The sequence below is a fragment of the Homo sapiens genome, chromosome 14 (genome assembly GCF_000001405.40).
Source record: "Homo sapiens chromosome 14, GRCh38.p14 Primary Assembly".
NCBI classification, from domain to species: domain Eukaryota; kingdom Metazoa; phylum Chordata; class Mammalia; order Primates; family Hominidae; genus Homo; species Homo sapiens.
The window spans coordinates 90,363,042-90,384,575 of NC_000014.9; the positions used below are offsets into that span (position 1 = coordinate 90,363,042).

The window sequence follows — 21,534 nt, forward strand, 5'->3', positions numbered from 1 at the left end:
GCCTGCAGCATCAACCCAGTTCTAAGGCCCATTTGAGGCAGGAGGAGTGGGGGTCTCCCATCTAACACACTGGAAGCCTACTTTGCTTTGTCACACTGGAAAGCCAGGAGGGCAAGACGGTGGGCACAGTGATCCCCTACCTGTCAAGTGCCAGAGAGAGAGCACTCAAGTGACCCTGCTCCTCAGATGTTGACTTGTTGAGGGCAGAAGCACACAGGAGGTGGGAGGGAAGCAGAGAAGCAGTGGATCCTGAGGAAAACACTGCCAGCACCATCTTTAACAAATCCTCTCCTTGCAAATTTATTTCCCACTTCCTTTGTCTCTTTAACTCAGCTCAAACTTTCTCAGGGAATGTGTCCTGGACCCCCTGGCTGGGCCCAGGTGGTTAGATACACACAGCGCTGTTTCTCCTTCATAACATTTACCACAGTTATGACTTGACATTGCTGCATATAATTATTTGACAATATCAGAATCTCTCATGAGACTACAAACAGCAGGAACTGTGCCTTTCTTTAGCTCATCTTGGCATTCCTGTGCCTAGCCTAGTGCATGGCACATACTGGAGCTCTATAAATAGTTGCTGAATAAACGAAGGAGAGAGAGCAGTAGGAGGAGGCATCTTGGAGATGAGACTGGAGGCTAAGACCTTAAAAGAAGGCAGGATAAAAGAGAGTTTAACCTGATATAATTTCCAGAAGGGCCCTAGAATACATTTGCTGCCAGATGAATCTATCATTCCATAACTAGAAAAGTTTGAAATGTACATACTCCTGAGAGAGGTAAGACATTAACCTAAATTTGCATTTGCATATTAATAACACTTCCTTTCCAGAAAGCTTGCAGAGAGGTTATGCTGTGGAGAATACAAAATCAATACCCTGAGCCAGGCACGGCGGCTCACGCCTGTAATCCCAGCACCTCAGGAGGCCAAGGCAGGTGGATCACCTGAGGTCAGGAGTTCGAGACCAGTCTGACCAACATGGTGAAACCCTGTCTCTACTAAAATACAAAAAATTAGCCGGGTGTGGCTGCGGGTGCCTGTAATCCCAGCTACTCAGGAGGCTGAGGCAGGAGAATCTCTTGAACCCGGGAGGCAGAGGTTGCAGTGAGCCGAGATCACGCCACTGCACTCCAGCCTGGGCAACAAGAGTGAAACTCAGCCTCAATAATAAATAAATAAATAAATAAACAAATAAATAAATAAATAAATACCCTGAACATCTGAAGGTGGAAGCTGTGGCTTGATGACCATGGAGGAGGAAAAGTAAAGACCATGGTGAATGGTGTCAAAAACCATTCACCATTCTTATGTCATAGTTTTGCTAAGGGTCAGCTTACTGTTGGTCAGAAACAAACCACAGTTCACCCTGGTCAACAAGACCCCTTTGCAGTGCTGCATGGAATTCTAATGCAGTGCTGCATGGACGCTGGACAGGCACTGGCAGCCAGGGAGCCACTTCCTCTTTCAACTAAATGCATGCTAAGGGGTGGTGGAAGATATGCAGCTGGTATCCACCCAAAAGGAAGAATCATGCCCTTGAGTTCTGATCACAAGGCTCTTCTGCCGTAATTAAAATGGAATAATCTTCACCATCAACCAACCTCCAGATCCTACAAGGTACTGCCACCAAACATGGCTAGTTATCGAAGGATAGTCATCTCTTGGGGAAGATCAAACTCTAGAACCTAATAAAAGAAATGAACCTCACATCCTATTAAAAAAGGACTTCCTGGCCAGGCACAGTGGCTCATGCCTGTAATCCCAGCACTTTGGGAGGCGGAGGCAGAGGGCTCGCTTGAGCCCAGGAGTTTGAGACCAGCCTGGGCAACATGGTGAAACTCTGTCTCTACAAAAAAATATGAAAATTAACTGGGCATTATGGCATGTGCCTGTGATCCCAGCTGTTCCGGAGGCCGAGGTGGAAGGATCACCTGAGCCCCGGGAGGTCAAGGCTGCAGTGAGCCATGATTGTGCCACTGCCCTCCAGCCTGGGTGACAGAGAAAGACCCTGACTCAAAAAAAAATTTTTTAAAAAGAACTTGCTGAAGATTATACAAAAAGAAAAGAAACTTGAAATGGATAATTGCTTTTATTAAGCTACAGGAGTTGGATATTTTTCTCTCTCTACTATCAGGATGCCTTTAAGACACCAAGGTGGGAAACAGATTTTTCTGCGTAGCCCCAACTCAGGATATATTCCCATTAACAATGACTGGATACCCTAAAAATGCCCCCCATTCATACCCTCTGAAAGTGTTAAGGTTAACTGCATAAAAGATCATTTGAAGTTTACTAAAATCTTAGATTCTTAGAAGGGATCTCTGAGTACATCTGGATTATTTTTTATTATTAATAACAAAAAAATTCTATGGAAAACCAAGAGTGATCCTCAACTTATGCTTGAGTCTTCACAGAAATAGGATCTATACAAGATGAAATGGGCCAAAAAAAAAAAAAAAAGAAGGATCTGGTTTGCTTCTTTTCTACCCAACTTATTCCCTTATTCCATTATTAAGCAATTCTGCTTAACAAGCTTTTAAAATACATCTTATTACACAAGGTCCTATATAGCCAACTGGCTCAGTTTAAATGTACACTGGTACCTTGTTCTCCCAAAAGTAATTGCCTAAAGAAAAATATTTTAGTTGCATAATTAAGTAAAAGGCAAAAAAATGGCAATGATTTCATTTCTGGATTTATGGCCACTGGAACATTCCTGTGGTAGGACAGAAAGTAAACTGAACTTTGAAATTAAATAGATAGCTATACATTTATGTTTTGGCGTGTAAATTACACATTTGCAGTCCTTCACTGAAGCCCAGTTTCAGATTTATTTATTTGTTTTTTAGACAGGAGTCTCACTCTGTTACCCAGGTTGGAGTGTAGTGGCGCAATCTCGGTTCACTGCAGTCTCCGCCTCCTGGGTTCAAGTGATTCTCCTGCATAGCTGGGATTACAGGCACCCACCACCACTCCTGGCTAATTTTTGCATTTTTAGTAGAGACAGGGTTTTGCCACGTTGGCCAGGCTGGTCTGGAACTCCTGACCTCTGGTGGTCCTTCTGCCCCGGCCTCCCAAAGTGCTGGGATTACAGGCATGAGCCACTGCACTCGGCCCTATGTTTCAGAATTATTTTAAACCTTATCTTTTTTTATGTGAAACTTAGAGCCTCATAAAACACTATTTGTGAGGTATCTTTTCCATAGTGATTTATTCTTGTGAACAAAATTTCATTTCTATAAAATATATTGTTGGCAATTGGTATAGTCATTTAATTTTATGACAGTGTATTTTAGGAATAAATGCATTCCCCAAAGGGGCACTGACATATAATTAGCAATGGAAATGATGTCACTGCTGTAAGGAAATTCAAAGTGGCTAAGATTCCAGAGACCCCTGCAGAGGTCTATAGCCTATGGATTATTAAACACTGCTACCTGATTAAGGGGGGGACAAAAAGAACAAAAACAAATGTACATGATTTAGAAATTCTGAAACATGATTTGAGCAACTGGAAGTAGAAATGAAAAGCTTTCTCAAATATGCTTTAAGTAAACTATCAGAGTCAGCCTACAAAAGAATACTTTTTTTTTTTTTTTTTTTTTTTGTAGCCCAGAGGTCCTTTATTATTATTATTTTTTTTAACACCTATTATGCCATGAATTCACAGGGAATAGGTTCCAGCAGCTCAGGCTCCTTCCCACTGGTTCTCACAAAGTGTGCTTCTCTGGGTGGAGCAGGCTGGCGCTTTAGTTGAACCCAGGTACCTTTCTCTTTGGCTTCTTTCTTTTTCTGATCATTTTCCTTCACGCGTTTCAGGAAGCTATCTTGGCTCTTAGAGTGCTTAATGTGCTTAATACGCACATTAATTCTCTTGGCAAGAATCTTGCCCTTAACTTGTTTGTTTACAACAATGCCAACAGCATGCTGGGTAACACTGTAGACTCTTCCAGTTTTGCCATGGTAACACTTGTGGGGCATTCCTTTTTGAACAGTACCCATTCCCTTGACGTCTACAATATCAACTTTCTTATAGATTCGCATATATGTGGCCAAAGGAACAACTCCATGTTTTCTAAAAGGCCTAGAGAACATATATCGGGTGCCTCTCCTCTTTCCCTTTGTGTTCGTCATTTTGGCGAATTACTGGAACATGGCGGTTCCGGCCGAAAGGCAAAAGAATACTTTTTAACTTTGACCAGCAATTTAAAACTTTTAAAGTATTTATAAAAATCTTAAATATATAATCAGTTTATACAGAAAAATAGGCCAGGCGTGGTGGCTCATGCCTGTAACCCCAGCACTTTGGGAAGCTGAGATGGGAGGACTGCTTTAGCCCAGGAGTTTGAGACCAGCCTGGGCAGCATAGTGAGAGCCCCTCTCTACAAAACACTTAAAAATTAGCCAGGTGTGATGGCATGAGCCTATAGTCCCAGGTACTCCCAAAAATCATTAATAAGACTTGATCGGCTCAAGAGGAAATTCTAAAGAAAGGGGATCTGATAATTAAATCATGAGATGTGTCTTGGACCTCCTGGCATTAACCTTCTGGGAGGCAGCAGGAAGGAGGTAATCTCAGCCAATGTCTCTATTCAGCAAAAAAAAAAAAAAAAAAAAAATGGAGCCCAGAGAAGCTAAAATGGTTGGGGTAGAACTCCACAGTAGTTCTCTCTGATTGATATGGGCTGTCTATGTTTGATTCAGTTGTAGGAATCCATATCAATGAAAATTGGTTATGGCAGGAGCTTGCACTTGTCAGCCATGACCCACTATTGCCTTCTACTACACTATAATTACATTTCCACTCGAAAGAGATTAGGACCTCCACAAATACTGAAGTGTACTGAAAGTAAATTGAAAACCAGTGGGAAACAAAATGCAGTTTAAAAAGCGTCACAAAACCAGCAACCTTAAACAGAAGAATTACCATTTTGCCCCAGATAAAATCTCAGGATGCCCATCAGAAGCAATACTTTAAGTATTTCAGGGTCTCAAATTGTATTAGTGGGAAGGAGGCAAAACAATTCTATTTGGATTTGCACTGAACCAAAGTTAAATTAGAGACAAATTCCATAATTTAACTGGGAATCAGAGTCTTTTTCCCTTGTCTTTTATTTACTTTTTTTTTTTTGAGATAGGGTCTCACTCTGTCACTCAGGCTGGAGTGCAGTGCAGCAATCATGGCTCACTGCATCCACGACCTCCCAGGCTCAAGCGATCCTCCCACCTCAGCCTTCTGAGTAGCTGGGAGTACAGGCACACGCCACCATCCCTGTCTAATTTTTCATCTTTCGTAGAGACAGGGTTTCACTAGGTTGCCCAGCCTGGCCTCAAAACTCCTGGGCTCAAGCAATCCTCCCACCTTAGCCTCCCAAAGTGCTGAGATTACAGGTGTGAGCCATCGTGCCCAGCCTATTTACAGTATTTTTAAAGTTACAGCTTTGAAAGAGTTGAAAAGTGTTTTCACTACCTAACTCTACCCATGCTCATTGTGAACAGAAGTTCTGTGTTTTGGATCCTCTACGTGACAGAAGATAAATACTAAGTGCATCAGCGGGGGCGGGCGGGGTGGGGGGGTGGAAGAAGTGAATTCCATAAATGCTCACCCTAATGTTTTCTGCAACAGAAAATCATCTATTCTCATCTTCTTTTAGCTATATAAAAAGAAGAAAGGAAGACTGTTTCACAGTCGTGGATGAGTAGCTGATCACAGCTTTCATAAAATATGCATGCCAGCACTTCCGCACAATTATCTCGAAGAACCAGTCTCTTGTTCCAAACATTTCAACAGCAAAAGACCTACCTGTAGCCAGCTATTTAGAAAGTGAAGTGTTGCCTAGAAAATAATTATTGAAATCAATAAACAATTAAAATTGGGGGTGGGGAAGTTCTTAGATTTACCTGATTTTTTTCCTACAGATTTAAAGTTAAGAATTATCAAAGAAAATAAATTTCAAACTACTGTATAAACTCCTGTGGATACAAGCTACATGTACATAAGCAGGTATTCTCTTAATTTGTGTCAAAATTATCTCCTGACACTATCAGACATACCACCCTTTCTAGTAGTACCATTCAGGATCCATAAGATGGCAGGCCTAGATTTCACAGTAGTAATTATAAGTGTATACACACTGATTGCTTTGAAAAAAAAAATACATCATATTATCAGCAGCATGTGGCTGGTAACAATCTTAGGGGCATCTATCAAATTAAATTTGTAAATTGAAAAACACAGCAACTATTACCAGGTTAATGCATGCTATTAATTCATATTGAATCACAAAATATTATTGCCAGAAGAAAATTAACATCATCTACTTTAGTCCTGCCTATTTCTATGTAAAGAAACCAGAGTGCAGATACCAGAGCTTTGCCCAAGATCACATGACAAAGTGAGTAGCAGAGAGAGGACCAGAATCCTGGTCTCCTTCCTCCCAATCTGTATCAGTCCTATTGTTCCCAGTATTTCTTCAACTCCTCATGGTGGCATCAAAGTCCAAATGACTGCTCTGCTGTCGAGCCCTATCCTTGCAGTTTGCCACAGATTGCTGTTTCCTTGTCAAAGAGTCACTCATGAGTCACCACTAGGACAAGGATCTGGACTCCACATGGAAGCATGGAATTCCACAACTCTCTTCATAAACCAGTTGTGTGCATCTCAAACTGGGTGTGATGATGTGTGGGGTACTTGAAGTCACAGGATAAATAAGTACTATCTCCTTTGATGATTTTGGTGGTGGTGGGGGGCAACATCTTTTTAATTAGAAGGAACATAAAATGTGTATGAATGTCAAACATGAAATGCATAAAGGTTCAAAGTAATGTGTAGCTTTATGTAGGCTAGATCAGGCCACTGTGCAGGCCTGCAGCAGTACAGCTCTTCAGTCCTCTGTGCTATCAGGGACACTGTGGTGGAAAGCTTAGAGAAGTATCTCATTAAGAGGCTCCCTCCTTCAGTACATAACCTGGAGCGCACCTTGTCTTCCATGATGTATAGAATAAGCTCACCTTACACTTGTGTCTTGGAAAAATTGACACACTGCTATCCAAATACTATGTGGGTAGTCCTAAGGCATATTTAACTTCTATATGACAAGCATTACATTATAAACATTAAGATATTCACCAAATATCAACTATTATATATGATAAACATGTAACAGAGGTCACTGCTGGGCAGAATTCTTAGACAAACCCAACACAGTGGATGGAATTAATAAAAATAAGCCAAACTACAACTTTTTGTAAGCATTATGCTACAGAGAAATGTACAGAGATCCAAGAAGCAGGAGAGCTGGAGGATTTTTTATCACTCATCTAATGTGTCTTACTCTATTTTCTCCTATTTACTCATCTATAAAAAGGAGATTGGATTGGGTTAGAACAGGGGAAAAATTTAGAATTCTAAGTTGTTTTTTGCTCACCCTTTGCTCTAGCATTTCCTTGGGCATAATTTTTTAAGTGAATGTAACATAAGATAATTAGCACCTAAGCATTTGCCTGTGCATTTTGACAGTGATTAATTCAGTTTCTCGGAATATACTCACCTCCTTAAAAATTCTCGGTATATTGATTGGCTAGAAATCAGTAAATTAGTTAATGTCATGAAAAACAAAGAAAGACTGGGAAACAATTTCAGATTAAATGAGACTAGAGAAAGGACGTCTGAATGCAATACATGATCCAGGATTTCATTTTGCTATGAAGAACGTTATTGCCATTATCGACAACTGGCAAAATTCAAATGACCACTATAGAACAGGCAATATTAGACAATGGCGTTGTATCCATTTCCTGATTTTGATAATTGTACTATGGCTATGTAAAAGAATGACCTTGTTTCTGGAATTACACACTGACACATTTAGGGACAAAGGAGCATCATGTCCACCGAGAGAGAGAGACAGAGAGAGAGAGAGCGCAAGCCTAGATGCCAGTGTGGTAAATGTTAAATCTGGGAAATATGAGTGAAAAGTACATAGGTATTCTTTGTACTATTCTTGTAAATTTTCTGTAAGACTGAAATTATATTAAAATAAAAAATTAAAAGAAAAAATCTTAAAGACAACCTGTTTGATGGCTGCGTATAGAACTGCAATGGAAACCAGATGTAGAAAGATTAATAAAGAAGGCAAAATTACAGTTGAAGGGAATCTGATTTATTCATAACATATTTGCAATTTATGAGTTTAAGATAATAGACATACTATACTATACTGTGTCTTGTATAAAAGGATGCATCTGGTGAACACTCATCTAAAAATTCTTATTTGATAAATATTGTTATAATGTCACCCTGTAGTTTATTTCTTGGGGTTTAAAAAATTTATATATAATAACTATAATATGTCTTTATTTTTCTTTCATGTTCTTCTGTAGTAAATCTTTACCTATAACCAGTGTTATAACTTAAAATCTGTTCACAGACAACTCACGGGGAGACTTTCACTCAGAATCTATGTAAAAACATAACCAAAATGATTAAAGACAGCTTTTGACTACGAAAGAGAAAATATATATGTTGAATAAAAAAGCAATTTAAAGCAAATTATAAAAAACAAAATGAAATTTCAAAAATACTTTTACATTGAGTGCCATGGTGCACACCTATAATCCCAGCTACTTGCATCACTTGAGTCCAGGAGTTTGAGACCAACCTGAGTAATACAGTGTATTTGTCTGTTCTCGTGCTGCTAATAAAGACATACCCGAGACTGGGTAATTTATAAAGGAAACAGGTTCAATTGACTCAGAGTTCAGCATGGCTGGGGAGGCCTCAGGAAACTTACAATCGTGGTGGAAGGGGAAGCAAACACATCCTTCTTCACATGGCAGCAGCAAGGAGAAGTGCCCAGCAAAAGAGGGAAAAGCCCCTTGTAAAACCATCAGATCTCGTGAGAACTCACTATCACGAGAACAGCATTAGAGTAACTGCCCCCATAATTAACTTATCTCCTGCTGGGTCCCTTCCACCACACATGGTTATGGGAACTACAATTCAAGATGAGATTTGGGTGGGGACACATAGTGTCCCCATGTCACATAGTGAGACCCCCATCTCAAAAAAATAAAACATCATGTTATATCAACAAACGGTAAGATAAAACAAGACACTAGACAATAAATTCTGGTCTATACCTCACCTGCATGCATAGGTAGATTATCTGTTGTTCCCAGGATTTAGCACATAGAAATGACATTGTTTAATATTTTTTCATGATGATTTTCAAAGGGTAAATGATCTCCCATATGACTATTTAAAAACTATATTTATTTTTCAGTTGCTCAGTACATGTAAACTTTAAAAATTAGCTTTTTCTTCTGTAAATACTTGTTTCTGACTTACACATCTCAAAGTGAAAACACTTTTTTTTTTCTTTTCTTTTCTTTTATTGAGATGGAGTCTCGCTCTGTCACCCAGACTGGAGTGCAATGGTGTGATCTTGGCTCACTGCAACCTCCGCCTCCTGGATTCAAGCGATTCTCCTGCCTCAGCCTCCTGAGTAGCTGGGATTACAGGCTCCCACCGCCACACCCAGCTAATTTTTGTATTTTTAGTAGAGATGGGGTTTCACCATGTTGGTCAGGCTGGTCACGAACTCCTGATCTCTGATGATCCACCCGCCTCAGCCTCCCTCCCAAAGTGCTGGGATTACAGGCATGAGCCACTGTGCCTGGTCCAGTGTTTACCTTTTCATATAGTTAGCTGATAAAAAAGCTTTTGTGTATATACCCTGCATATCAAAATGGGGATAAATTAAAGTTAAACTGAGATGATTTTCATCCATATCTGAAACTCAAAAATCTTGATCAGTTGATAACAAATTTCACACAGCCCACTTATATCTACAAAGTGAAGAGTAACCGATCTACTCAGAGCGTGGCATCATCAGAATAAAACATTTTGAAAGTCCGTCCTTGAAGGACTAACACAAAAGTATGTTCTCATCTTTACACGAGGACTCTAGATTATTTTCCATGCTTTTGTGATGAAGTGCTGTTTTGTTATATAATTTTGACTTGGATTCTTCCCAATTATACTTGTTTATGTAATTTCAGGAGGAATACTGAACATCTGAGTTCTGGATGATACTATTATAGTAAACTAATAATTGCATAAGTTAAAAAAAAACCTGCATCAATTGCACCATTGCACTCCAGCCTTGGTGACAGAATAAATCCCATTTGTTTCTTTCTTTCTTTCTTTCTTTTTTTTTTTTTTTGAGACAGTTCTACTCTTGTTTGCCAGGCTGGAATGCAGTGGTGCAATCTTGGCTCACTGCAACCTCTGCCTCCTGGGTTCAAGCGATTCTCCTGACTCAGCCTCCCAAGTAGCTGGGATTACAGGCATGTGCCACCACGTCCGGCTAATTTTTGTATCTTCAGTAGAGACGGGGTTTCACCATGTTGGCCAGGCTGGTCTCAAACTCCTGAATTCAGGTAATCCACCTGCCTTGGCCTCCGAAAGTGCTGGGATTACAGGCATGAGCCACCAAGCCCGGCCCCCATTTCTTAAAAATATGAATTCATCCAGCCTGGTCAACATGGAGAAAGCCCGTCCCTACTAAAAATACAAAAATTAGCTGGGTGTGGTGGCGCATGCCTATAATCCCAGCTACTCGAGTGGCTGAGGCATGAGAATCCCTTGAACCCAGGAGGCGGAGGTTGCAGTGAGCCGAGGTCACGCCACTGCACCCCAGCCTGGGCGACACAGTGAGACTCTGTCTCGAAATAAAATAAATAAATAAGTAAATACATACACTACATACATGAAATACAAGCAACATTACAAAATAGACGTTCTCCTTATTTCATTTAACTGTTTTTTTCTCTCCAGCTATTTTAATTGATTCAAGATGTTCAACATATATTTATTTAGCAACTAGTACATGCCAGACATGGTTGTTAAGTATTGAGAATATAAGCAAGCAATATGTAATGAAAACCTGCATAAACAAAAACATGGTCTCTGGCTTCATCCTGGTTACAATCTAGTCCTGAGAACTTAAGTGCAGGAATGGGTTTTACAAGCTTGGAACCCCGCCGAGTGCCTTGCATACGCAAGAACCACAGTAACACTCACTGATAATACTGATGATGTCTGCACTGCCTATAGATCTTTCTTATTGGTAGAAGAGAGATTCTTCACGCTGTAATCAGATCTTTTTACCTTTGAAAATAGGCTTTGACCAGGCGCAGTGGCTCACGCCTGTAATCCCAGCACTTTGGGATGCCAGGGCGGGCGGATCACGAGGTCAGGAGCTAGAGACCATCCTGGCCAACATGGTGAAACCCCATCTCAACTAAAATACAAAAAATTAGCCTGGCATGGTGGTGCACACCTGTAGTCCCAGCTACTTGGGAGGCGGAGGCAGGGGAATTGCTTGAACCCGGGAGGCAGAGATTGCAGTGAGCTGAGATCGTGCCACTGCACTCCAGCCTGGCAACAGAGCGACACTCTGTCTCAAAAGAAAAAAAAAAAAAAAAGACTCCAGCCCAGCTGGGCCCAGTGGGTCACACCTTTAATCCCAGCACTTTGGGAGGCCGAGCAGGCAGATCACCTGAGGTCAGGAATTTGAGGCCAGCTTGGACAACGTGGTGAAAACCCATCTTTACTAAAAATACAAAAAAGTAGCCCGGCGTGGTGGCACACAACCGTAGTCCCAGCTACTTGGGAGGCTGAGGCAGGAGAATCACTTGAACCCGGGAGGCGGAGGGTGCAGTAGGCCGAGATCTGGCCACTGCACTCCAGCCTGGACAATAGAGCGAGATTACGTCTTAAAAAAAAAAAAGAAAAGACTTCATCCAGCAAGAAAGAAATCTGTCATACCGGATTCCTAAAAGTCAATTGGAATCTCATCCTTTTTAGTAATCTCAATAGCCTTGTCTTACTGAAATAATAAAAATTGCAACAGGTTTCCAGGCACAGGCAAGGAGCTGTGGACCTTTGTAAACATTTTTCAGTGTCCAGTAATCCCTTTGTTAGTTATTCACATGCAGAATAAATTCTCAAATAACAGCTCTTGCTCCCTCTCTGCACCATTTAACACACATATTTTACACAAATTAATTGATCTCATATACACAGCCTCAGGTTCTAGATGACAGGGCTTACTCTTCATCAGTCTTTTTTTTTTTTTTTTGAGACGGGGTTAGGCTCTGTCTCCAGGCTGGAGTGCCCTGCCGTGATCTTAGCTCACTGCAACCTCCACCTCCCGGGCTCAAGTGATCTTCCCACCTCAGCCTTCCAGGTAGCTGAGACCACAGGCGCCCACCACCATGCCCAGCTAATTTTTTTGAGTTTTTGGTAGAGATGGGGTTTCACCATGTTGCCCAGGCTGGTCTCAAACTCTTGAGCTCAAGTGATCTGCCTGTCTCAGCCTCCTAAAGTGTTGGGATTACAGGTGTGAGCCACCATGCCTGGCTTCATCAGTCTTTCTGTAATAAAAAATCCTTGTTTTTTTTTTTATACAGAGTCTCAGTCTGTCGTCCAGGCTGGAGTACAGTGGCATGATCTTGGCTCACTGCAATTTCCACCTCCCAGGTTCAAGCAATTCTCCTGTCTCAGCCTCCTGAGTAACTGGGACTATAGGCGCGAGCCACCAGGCCCAGATAATTTTTGTATTTTTAGTAGAGATGGGGTTTCACCATGCTGGCCAGGCTGGTCTCGAACTCCTGGCCTCAAGTGATCCGCCTGCCTTGGCCTCCCAAAGTTCTAGGATTACAGGTGTGAGCCATCATGCCCCACCCTTTCCATAATAAAACTTAGCAAATGCTGATGTGAATCAGAAACATCAGTACAAAGGAAAGAACACAAAAAACCCATTGGTAAGTGGTTCTGAAAATAACTCATACAATCACTGTTCTCTTTGATGAAAATATTTTTTCAAGATGATAAACAAGCACTGCAGATACCTACCATTGTGTTGCCTACAGTATTCAGTACAGTAACATACTGTGCAGGTTTGTAGTCTAGAAGCAATAGGTTATTCAGTATGGCCTAGGGGTATAGTAGTCTACACCACCTAGGTTTATGTAAACATACTCTATGATGTTCACACAACGATGTAACTGCCTAATGACACATTTCTCAGAACATGTTTCCACTGTTAAGTGATGCATGACTGTACGTTAATGTATGTGTGTTTTTCTGGGAGAAGGTTCCTATGACTTTCATTAAATTCTCAAAGGTGTTAATGATCCGAAAACTTCCTAAGAACTATGACCCCAAAAGAAAATAATCAGCACTCGTATTCTAAGGAAACTGGCACATAGAATGAATTCAATAAACATTGTGAAATGAAATCTGAGTAAATAACTTTTATGTAGAGTATCATTAAACTTTTTTAATGCTGCCATCAGAGATACATGATCAGTATGAAAGATAAATCAGAGAAAAGAGGAGAAAAATGACAAATCAAGATGGAGTGACTACTACATTCCGGACGATAGTGCAGGCGGTGGGAGGACTTTGTTAAGGTAATTTCTGCTTTTTAGGAACATATGATCTAATTGGAATGATAAAACATACAAAGTGGTGTAAGAATATTAGCAAAGGGAAAAAAGCAGTCAGTGTATTATACAATATATACTAGAATTTCTAAAGGTGATAGCCTCTGAGTGAGAAGTCTAGGTTTGAAGGAGTTTTTCACATATACAGGGTTTAATTGTGCTATCTGCAATAGGAAAAGACTGGAAGTATGAGGTATTGAATAGAAGGTATTGGAATAAATGAAGACTGCCCCTTCCTGCTCCTCTTTTTACAGGTTTCAGCTATCACGAAGAGAGCACCAGGGCAATGGGAAGCAATCCAGCGGTTTCTGAAGGGCGCACTCCCTGGCTCAACCTCCTTATGCTACTTTTGTGTTGGGGGGTTGGGGGCAGTTTGCTGACTTGACCAGAGGATAAGGAAATCACTCCTCCAGTGCCCTGAAATCATTACAGATTTTTATTTGTTTTTATTTTTATTTTTGGAGACGGAGTCTCGTTCTGTTGCCTAGGCCGGAGTGCAGTGGAGCAATCTTGGCTCACTGCAACCTCCGCCTCCTGCATTCAAGTGATCCTCCTGCTTCAGCCTCCCAAGTAGCTGGGACTACAGGCATGTGCCACCACGCCCAGTTATTTTTTTGTATTTTTAGTAGAGATGGGATTTCGCCATGTTGGCCAGGGTGGTCTTGAACTCCTGACCTCAGATGATCCACTCGCCTTGGCCTCCCAAAGTGCTGGGATTACAGGCATAAGCCACCCCGCACCTGGTCCCATTATAGATTTTGAAACAGGTATTAGCCCAAGAAAGATCTTTACCCAGAGGCAAATGCCTTGAAAAATTCCAGTTTATATTTGGGAAATGTCCCCAGTGGGAATATTTGAAAGCATAAAAGTACACCTCCAAGCCAGTGGTGCTGCCACTTCCTTCTGTGAGGCTTCTAAGAAGTTCCAGCAGAAGGCCAAATCCAACTGGTATCTAAACTCTTTCCCCATTTTGCTATTATGACTTTTCTTAAAGTGAGGCATATCTGCAGCAACATATTTTGCTTACTGGTATCTTATTTTTTTACTATAGAAAAGTATCTAGGAAATATGTGATGAGGCCATTACTGGGGGAAAAAAGCCCAGGAATTTAGTCCAACTATGGTGATATTTGTTGTTTTTTCATTCTTCACCTCAAATATAGAGTACAAAAATATTACCAGGCATAGTGGCTCATGCCTGAAATCCCAGCATTTTGGGTGGCCGAGGCGGGAGGACTGCTTGAGCCCAGGAGTTCCAGACCAACCTGGGAAACATAGTGAGACACTATCTCTACAAAATAATTAAAATCAAAAATTTTAATAATAATTAAAATTAAAAAATTAAAATAATTAGCCGGGCATAGTGGCTAATGCCTATAGTACTAGCTACTCAGGAGGCTGAGGTGGAAGGATAGCTTGAGCCCAGGAGTTTGTGGCTGCAGTAGCTATGATCATGCCACTGCACTCCAGCCCGTGCGACAGTCAGACCCTGTCTCTAAAAAAACAAGCAAAACAAAAATACTATCACTTACAAAAGTTATCATTTCTTACATCTTCTCCTTCCCTAAACCCACTGCAACCACTTTCAGATCATAATTAACTTAGGGGCTGAGTACTACAAACCAGAAAATGAGTTCAACTTCCAGCTCTGGATGAACCTGGACAAGTTATTTATCCTTTGTAAGCCTAAAGTTCCTTATTTGTGAAAAGGAGTAAATAACAAGGTTTTTGTGAGCAATAAATGAGATACTGCAAGTAAAAATATTGGATGGCATACTGTAAGTGCTCAATAAGTATTTGCTATTATTCTTATTACTGCCTTCACTAGTCTCCCTATCTATAGTCCTTTGTAAAATTCACCACGTGGCTGGGCGTGGTGGCTCATGCCTGTAATACCAGCGCTTTGGGAGGTCTAGGCCGGTGGATCAACTTGAGGCCAGGAGTTAGAGACCAGCCTGGTCAATGTGTTGAAATCTTGTCTCTACCAAAAATACGAAAAATTAGCTGGGTGTGGTAATGCACACCTGTAATCCCAGCTACTGGGAAGGCTGAGGCACAAAAATCGCTTGAACCTGGGAGGCAGAGGTTGCAATGAGCTGAGACCGCACCACTCCAGCCTGGGCGACAGAGCGTGACTCTGTCTCAAAAAAAAAAAAAAAAAAAAAAAGAAAAGAAAAAATTCACCTTGCACTTTGCTAACACATTTGGCTTTTTATTTTATTTTATTTTATTTTGAGACAGGGTCTTGCTCTGTCACGCAGGCTGGAATGTAGTGGCATGATCACAGGTCACTGCAGCCTCGACCTACCAGGCTTAAGTGAGCCTCTTGCCTTAGCTTCCTGTGTAGCTGGGTCCACAGGCATGCGCCACCACGCTCAGCTAATTTTTCTTTTCTTTTTCTTTTTTTTGGGAGGGGTATTTTTTGTAGAGAAGGGGTTTTGACATGTTGCCAAGGCTAGTCCCAAACCCATGGGCTCAAGCAATCCACCCACCTCCACCTCCCAAAGTACTGGCATTACAGACAGGCGTGAGCTGTGGCACCTGGCCATATTTGGTATTCTTTTATTTTTTCCCCCTTTTTCAACTCATTGCTTGCTAACACATTTGATATTCTTAAATCACCTTTGAGTTTTGTCAGTTTCTTTTCAAAACTCTTCAGTGGATTCCATGCATACAGGATAGTCTTATCTTCTTGCCTGGAATGTGTAGCCATTCCCTATCTGGCCTTAACAAACTTGATACCAGCTTGGTCGTTCATGATGCTCGTTAATAACAGACTAAACTTCTTCCCCTTCCCCAACACACCCTGCTCTTTCAGCCTCTTTGACTTTTTTCCTGGTGTTGTGTGTGTGGAATGCCTTCTCTATGTACATCCATATGGGGTGCTGAAGATGCCACCTTCCCCCACAAGGCTCTGATCCCTCTAGCAGAGCAAACTCTCTCTGGACTCCTGAAATACTTGTTATTTTCTCCTATCTTGAAAAAGTGTTATTTAGGTTCACATTATCTCCCAACCTAAAATATAAGTCCTTTAAAAACCAAGGTTCACGTTTGTTACATTTTTACATACTCATGGCCCAGGGTCACACTCACAATTGGTACAAATACCCATTATGAAAGTAGAACGTGGTAACAGAAGACAGTGAAATAAAGTGCTGAGGGAGCCCAGTGGAGGAAGAGTTTATTTCAGTTGCCTTCACATTTGAAGTAAACCTTTAAGGATATTAGAACTGTGTTGGGCAGAAAAGATGGAAATCGGCAATCTAGGCCAAGGGAGCGACATGAATAAAGGTGGAGAGAGAAATGCACAACTGAAGAACAATTTGTATGACTAAAATTTCGGTGGCAGGTTGTTAGGACTGAAAAGGCAGATTATGGAGGGCCCTGAAGGAGCTCCTAAATGCATTTGGACTCAATTTTGAGGCCATGGGAAGCTACTGAGGCTTTTGAGCAGGGAAATGACATAGTAAGATGTATGTTTTAGGAAAATGACTATCAGCTGGGCATACAATGGAACTAGGGATGAGACCATTAGTTTGCATGTATGTGTCCTTCCAAAATTCATATGTTAGAACTTAAACCCCAAGGTGATGGTATTAGGAACTAGGGCTTTTGGGGAAGTGATTAAGTCATAAAGGCTCCACCTTCGTGAGTGGGACTAATGGCCCTATAAGAGAGGCATCAGAGAGCTGCTTGGCCCTTCCAGCTCTTCACTCACGTGAGAACACAGCATTTATCCCCTTTCACCCGTCTGCCTTCTGCCACGTGAGGATGCTGCAGCAAGGTGCCATCCTGGAAGCAGAGACCAAGCCCTCACCAGACACCAAATATACCAGTGCCTTGATCTTCAACTTCCCAGCCTCCACAGCTGTGAGAAATAAATTTCTGTTGTTTATAAATTACCCAGCCTGTGGTATTTTGTTACAGTATCAGGAATGGACTAAGGCAAAGACCAATAGTTAGAGACTTTCACAATAGTCAGGAAGACAGTGACGGTATCTTGAACTACAGTGGTGGCAGTGAGAATGCAAAGAGGCAAGATGTGAAAGGAGACAGAGTGGAAAGAGAACTTCAATGGGGGGTGATGGAGAGGAAGCAGGTGTTCTCAACCTGGAGTCTACGGAGAGAACTTAGGAGGGGTCCATAAACTTGGACAGAAAAATAGAACATCTTTATTTTCATTAACCTCTAAGTTAAATGTAGCATGCCTTCAATTACGAATACAGGCAACACACCAACGGCACCGGACTTCATCAAATTGGCAAAGGGATCCATGGCATAAAAAATAATTTCTTCACTCTAAGGGCCTAAAAGTCTGGTAATGTCTTTACCAGAAACAAAGACTACAATTAAATAGGAAAACTTTAAAACATTAAAAATAAAAAAAAATTAAAAAAAAAAACCCAACAATGTGTGGGGACTGAGGGAAGGAAGAGTAGTAAAAATGGAAAAAGTTCTCAGTTTGACTTTGGATGTGTCGAGTTTCAGGTGGCAGCCCACCCTTATTTCATAAGAGGACATCTGATTTCTTATGTCCAGTCGCCTTCAGCTGCAGGGAACCTGAATCATCTCTATACAGTAGGAATCTGCATTTCTCATTCTGTTCCTCCTCCCATCTCTCAGCATTGAAAAGAGTCCAGGGGTGACCAACTGTCCTGGTTTGCCTGGGACAGAGGGGTTTTCCAGGACACATTCAATGCTAAAACCAGGAAAATCCAAGCAAACTACGATGAGCTCATCATCCTAAGCGCCCCTCAAATCTGGCACTGTATGCTAATAAGGCTATAATAATACTATCTACATTACAAAACTATGCTATTTAAGGTTTCTTTTAGATCTGAGTTTTGTCCATCTGTTCTTCCCATGAGATGGAAAATCCTGAAGGAAAATCTTCCTCTCATAAGGTCAGACTCAACAAATCCATTAGTAACTGCATATCATTATGTCAACAGTTCTACAATTTATACAGTTCTGGCACATTCACATATCATGCAATCCTCACAAGAACTCCATGAGGTAGCTTGGATTCTCTTCATATCACAGAAACCGAGTCTCTGCAAGATTTATTACTCCGCTTTACCTCACCCAGCAAGCAAAGTGGCCGGCTCCTAGCACTGCAGCTGTCAAAGAACACTGAGACACTGTGTGCTCTGTACAGAGACAAGAGTGGCTGTTGCTACACGGAGATTATGCAAAGCTGCAAGTTTCTTTCTATTGCCATGCCCAGGAACTCAGTGCTTTGACATTACACTGATTTACAATAATATGAAGTGTTAATTTTAAGCACAAGGTACCCTAAGGTAAGGTGTCGGCTGACCTAAGGGAAAAGGCAAAAAAGCCAATACATAAATGTCCAAAACCAGTAAGATTAAGCAAGAACAGCAATAATCTGCAAATCAAAATGTATGGCAAATGGTACAAAAACTATGCTCCCAGATGCAGCATCTAATCAGAAAATCTACACACGGTAGTGAGTATACCTGTATTAATCAATACAGAAAATCAACATGCCCGAGTGTGCCTGCATTGATCGATCCAGGAATCTTGGCCGGGGATGGAATGGTGAAAGCCAGGATAGATAAACCACGGTAGTAACGTACTACTAATGCTCCATACACTTAAGGGGCCTGGCCCTGCCAGGTTTATTGACCCTGCAATTCACCAGCTACCTCCTCCTGTCGCCATGGCAACACCCACACCCAAGCAGCTCCAGAATTCACCTTTGGATATCCAGAATTCACCTTTGGATATCCACAATCCACCGAATTTGCACCTACGCAGTTCAAATAAACCAACAAAAGATATCCCCACCCGCTAAACTGAGACAACCACGACCTTTTCCATTTCCCCGATCTCTAATTCATCCACGGAACATGTCTTTAATTTTTCACCCATATCCACTGAAGGGAGGGTGAGTCCTAAACAACGACCACTTTTGATACAGTAAGAGGTTTTTTCCTTTCCTCCCCCTCCCCCACTCTTTTTTTGCGGGGTTGGACATCAGAGACGAATGAAAACCGGATGCGCACACAAACAACATTTGCCTAAAAAAGACAAGTTAGTTGGTATGATCAAAATAATTTTCAGCCAACGTCTCGTGGCACGTCTGTCAGGCAAGCTGAGTTTTGCCTCTGCAGGCGACCGCCTCTGGAGCTGAGAAATAGTTTCCAGCGCGGCTGTTTGATTTACAGCTCTCAAAAGCAAAAACGCATTCTGTGCCGACGGGACCGCGCACAGCGTGAGCAACAACCATGACGTATTCGGGAGAGTTTTCCAGAACGGCTCTCCGGCTCCAGCAAGATGCCCAGGCAGCAAATCTCATTTCTGCTGGGAGAAATGGAATCAAATCGCACCCCACTGCCCGAGCCCACAGAACGCAAATCAAGCGGTTTCATTACAACGGTAGTTAAACCCTTCCTCAGACCCTGAGCTCTGCCCCGAGCCCCGGGGCCTCGCTTTCTACCCCCACCACATCCCTAGGACCTGGGAAAAACAAAACGACCCGCCGTAGAGGAAAAGGAAACCCCAAACAAAACTCGGGCGCAGAGCCTATTTCTACTGGCCAAAGAGCGCCGCCAAGACCCCTTCCGTCCGGGGCTGTCCGCGCTGCCACTAGTAAAGATGGCGGCCATAGGCGGAGCCGCTCACTCCGAAGGCCGCAGGCTACCCTGCCGGCCACGACCATTCACGCGGAGCCCTCCACGCCCTTCGCGGCTTGACGCATTGCAGGTGCAGCGCGACCAATCAGACGGCGCGGCTCTTTTCGGCCAACCACTGCAGGGTCGCGCCGGCCTATCAGAGCGTCCTTGTCAAACTGAACGAGGAAAGAAGCCTCAGCAGCGCCAACTAAGCAACCGGCTACAGACCGCGTTCCGGTGCGTGTGTGACGACACCGCCGTGTGCTCCTCCGCTGGGAGATATAGTGCCCTCGCCCTTGCCTCGCCCCGCCCGCGAGCGCTCCAAAGGCTTGGGCGTGCGGCTTGCTCTTCCTCTCCGCTTGACGGGCGGTGGTTCCCCCGAGACAGAAACTTGACTGAAAAATAATACCAAATACCCGTGCTGCGGCCCGTGGCCCTCCATAGGGCCACCTGAACTAGCCTCGCCTGTCCCCTTGCTCTTTGCCGTTCGTCCTTCGCGTTTTGTGAAAACAGTTGGCGCCGCAGAAATGAGATAAACGCCCCTGAGCTCGAAACCCGCACTCGAACTGCCACCGAGCCGACCCTTCCTGTTTTGGAACTCAGGGCCCGGCCACCCGAGAAGCACCCTCATGGGCACTTTGTTTCTACAAGGGCCCGTTTCCATTTCCTTCCTAAGGTTTCCTTATCCCCTGCGGCAGGAGGGGCCCGCTGGGCTCGGGTTTTCAGCTGCGTTGGAGCTGCAGAGGCTGCGGAGTGAACGCGGCCAGGAGCCCGCCTGGGAGCGCGCAGCGCTCTAGGAGCCGAGAGCCGCTGCTTGGCCCTCGCTGGCCGGGTAAACCGAGGGGAAGCTCCTGGCCTCCTTTCCCTTAAGCCCCTTATTGCTTCTGTGGGGAAGGCCCTCCTAGGTAGAGGCGAAGGACCGGGGAGATAACCTCTCCCATGGGCCACATCCGCTGCCATGGTCTGTGTCGTGCCAGAAGGTACCTCTCAGCCCTCAGTGCCGTGAAAAATCTGACACTCAAGAAGGTCGATTGACACGCCTAACGTCGCACAGCAATTTAGTAGCACAGCACAGAATAGAAGCTACCCAGGCTGGCTGTCTCCCAAGCCTGTGTTTCTCTACCACACACAGTAACACTGCGTCTTCCAGAGCTGAAGCTGTAGTCGTGAGATGGCTCAAGCATTTGGGGGAACTGGAAGGCAGACCTGGGAATGAAGAGAATTGTTTTCTTTGAGCAGAATTTTCAGTCAGTGGCCTACAGAAAAAGTAGAGAAGAAACATTACTTGGTTATTGTCACTGTTCCAAGAGGCTAGCTAAGAAAATTAAATCGTGTGGATTTCTTAAAACTGCTGTTTCGTGTAACCTCCAAACATCTA

The 21,534-nt window shown here is 42.8% G+C and overlaps 1 long non-coding RNA gene and 1 pseudogene across 1 annotated transcript, besides 7 other annotated features; one reads left to right on the forward strand and one right to left on the reverse strand.

Annotated features, from left to right (window-relative positions):
- Positions 1–1,512: 1,512 nt before the first annotated feature.
- LOC105370618 (uncharacterized) lies at positions 1,513–5,882 on the forward strand. Its single transcript, XR_944132.3, has 2 exons — positions 1,513–1,621; positions 5,659–5,882. It is a non-coding gene; the product is annotated as an uncharacterized LOC105370618 (long non-coding RNA).
- Positions 3,594–4,181, reverse strand: RPL21P11 (ribosomal protein L21 pseudogene 11; annotated as a pseudogene).
- Positions 19,233–19,760: an enhancer, noted in NCBI's record as "H3K27ac hESC enhancer chr14:90848618-90849145 (GRCh37/hg19 assembly coordinates)". NCBI's record gives its function as "activates a minimal SCP1, AML or CMV promoter by ChIP-STARR-seq in primed H9 embryonic stem cells {active_cell/tissue: H9 hESC(primed)}" and the evidence as "EXISTENCE:reporter gene assay evidence [ECO:0000049][PMID:30033119]".
- Positions 19,761–20,287: an enhancer, noted in NCBI's record as "H3K27ac hESC enhancer chr14:90849146-90849672 (GRCh37/hg19 assembly coordinates)". NCBI's record gives its function as "activates a minimal SCP1, AML or CMV promoter by ChIP-STARR-seq in primed H9 embryonic stem cells {active_cell/tissue: H9 hESC(primed)}" and the evidence as "EXISTENCE:reporter gene assay evidence [ECO:0000049][PMID:30033119]".
- Positions 19,906–20,205: an enhancer, noted in NCBI's record as "active region_8876". NCBI's record gives its function as "activates an Ori minimal core promoter by ATAC-STARR-seq in GM12878 lymphoblastoid cells {active_cell/tissue: GM12878}" and the evidence as "EXISTENCE:reporter gene assay evidence [ECO:0000049][PMID:35858748]".
- Positions 20,288–20,814: an enhancer, noted in NCBI's record as "H3K27ac hESC enhancer chr14:90849673-90850199 (GRCh37/hg19 assembly coordinates)". NCBI's record gives its function as "activates a minimal SCP1, AML or CMV promoter by ChIP-STARR-seq in naive H9 embryonic stem cells {active_cell/tissue: H9 hESC(naive)}" and the evidence as "EXISTENCE:reporter gene assay evidence [ECO:0000049][PMID:30033119]".
- Positions 20,326–20,395: an enhancer, noted in NCBI's record as "active region_8877". NCBI's record gives its function as "activates an Ori minimal core promoter by ATAC-STARR-seq in GM12878 lymphoblastoid cells {active_cell/tissue: GM12878}" and the evidence as "EXISTENCE:reporter gene assay evidence [ECO:0000049][PMID:35858748]".
- Positions 20,426–20,645: an enhancer, noted in NCBI's record as "active region_8878". NCBI's record gives its function as "activates an Ori minimal core promoter by ATAC-STARR-seq in GM12878 lymphoblastoid cells {active_cell/tissue: GM12878}" and the evidence as "EXISTENCE:reporter gene assay evidence [ECO:0000049][PMID:35858748]".
- Positions 21,186–21,335: an enhancer, noted in NCBI's record as "active region_8879". NCBI's record gives its function as "activates an Ori minimal core promoter by ATAC-STARR-seq in GM12878 lymphoblastoid cells {active_cell/tissue: GM12878}" and the evidence as "EXISTENCE:reporter gene assay evidence [ECO:0000049][PMID:35858748]".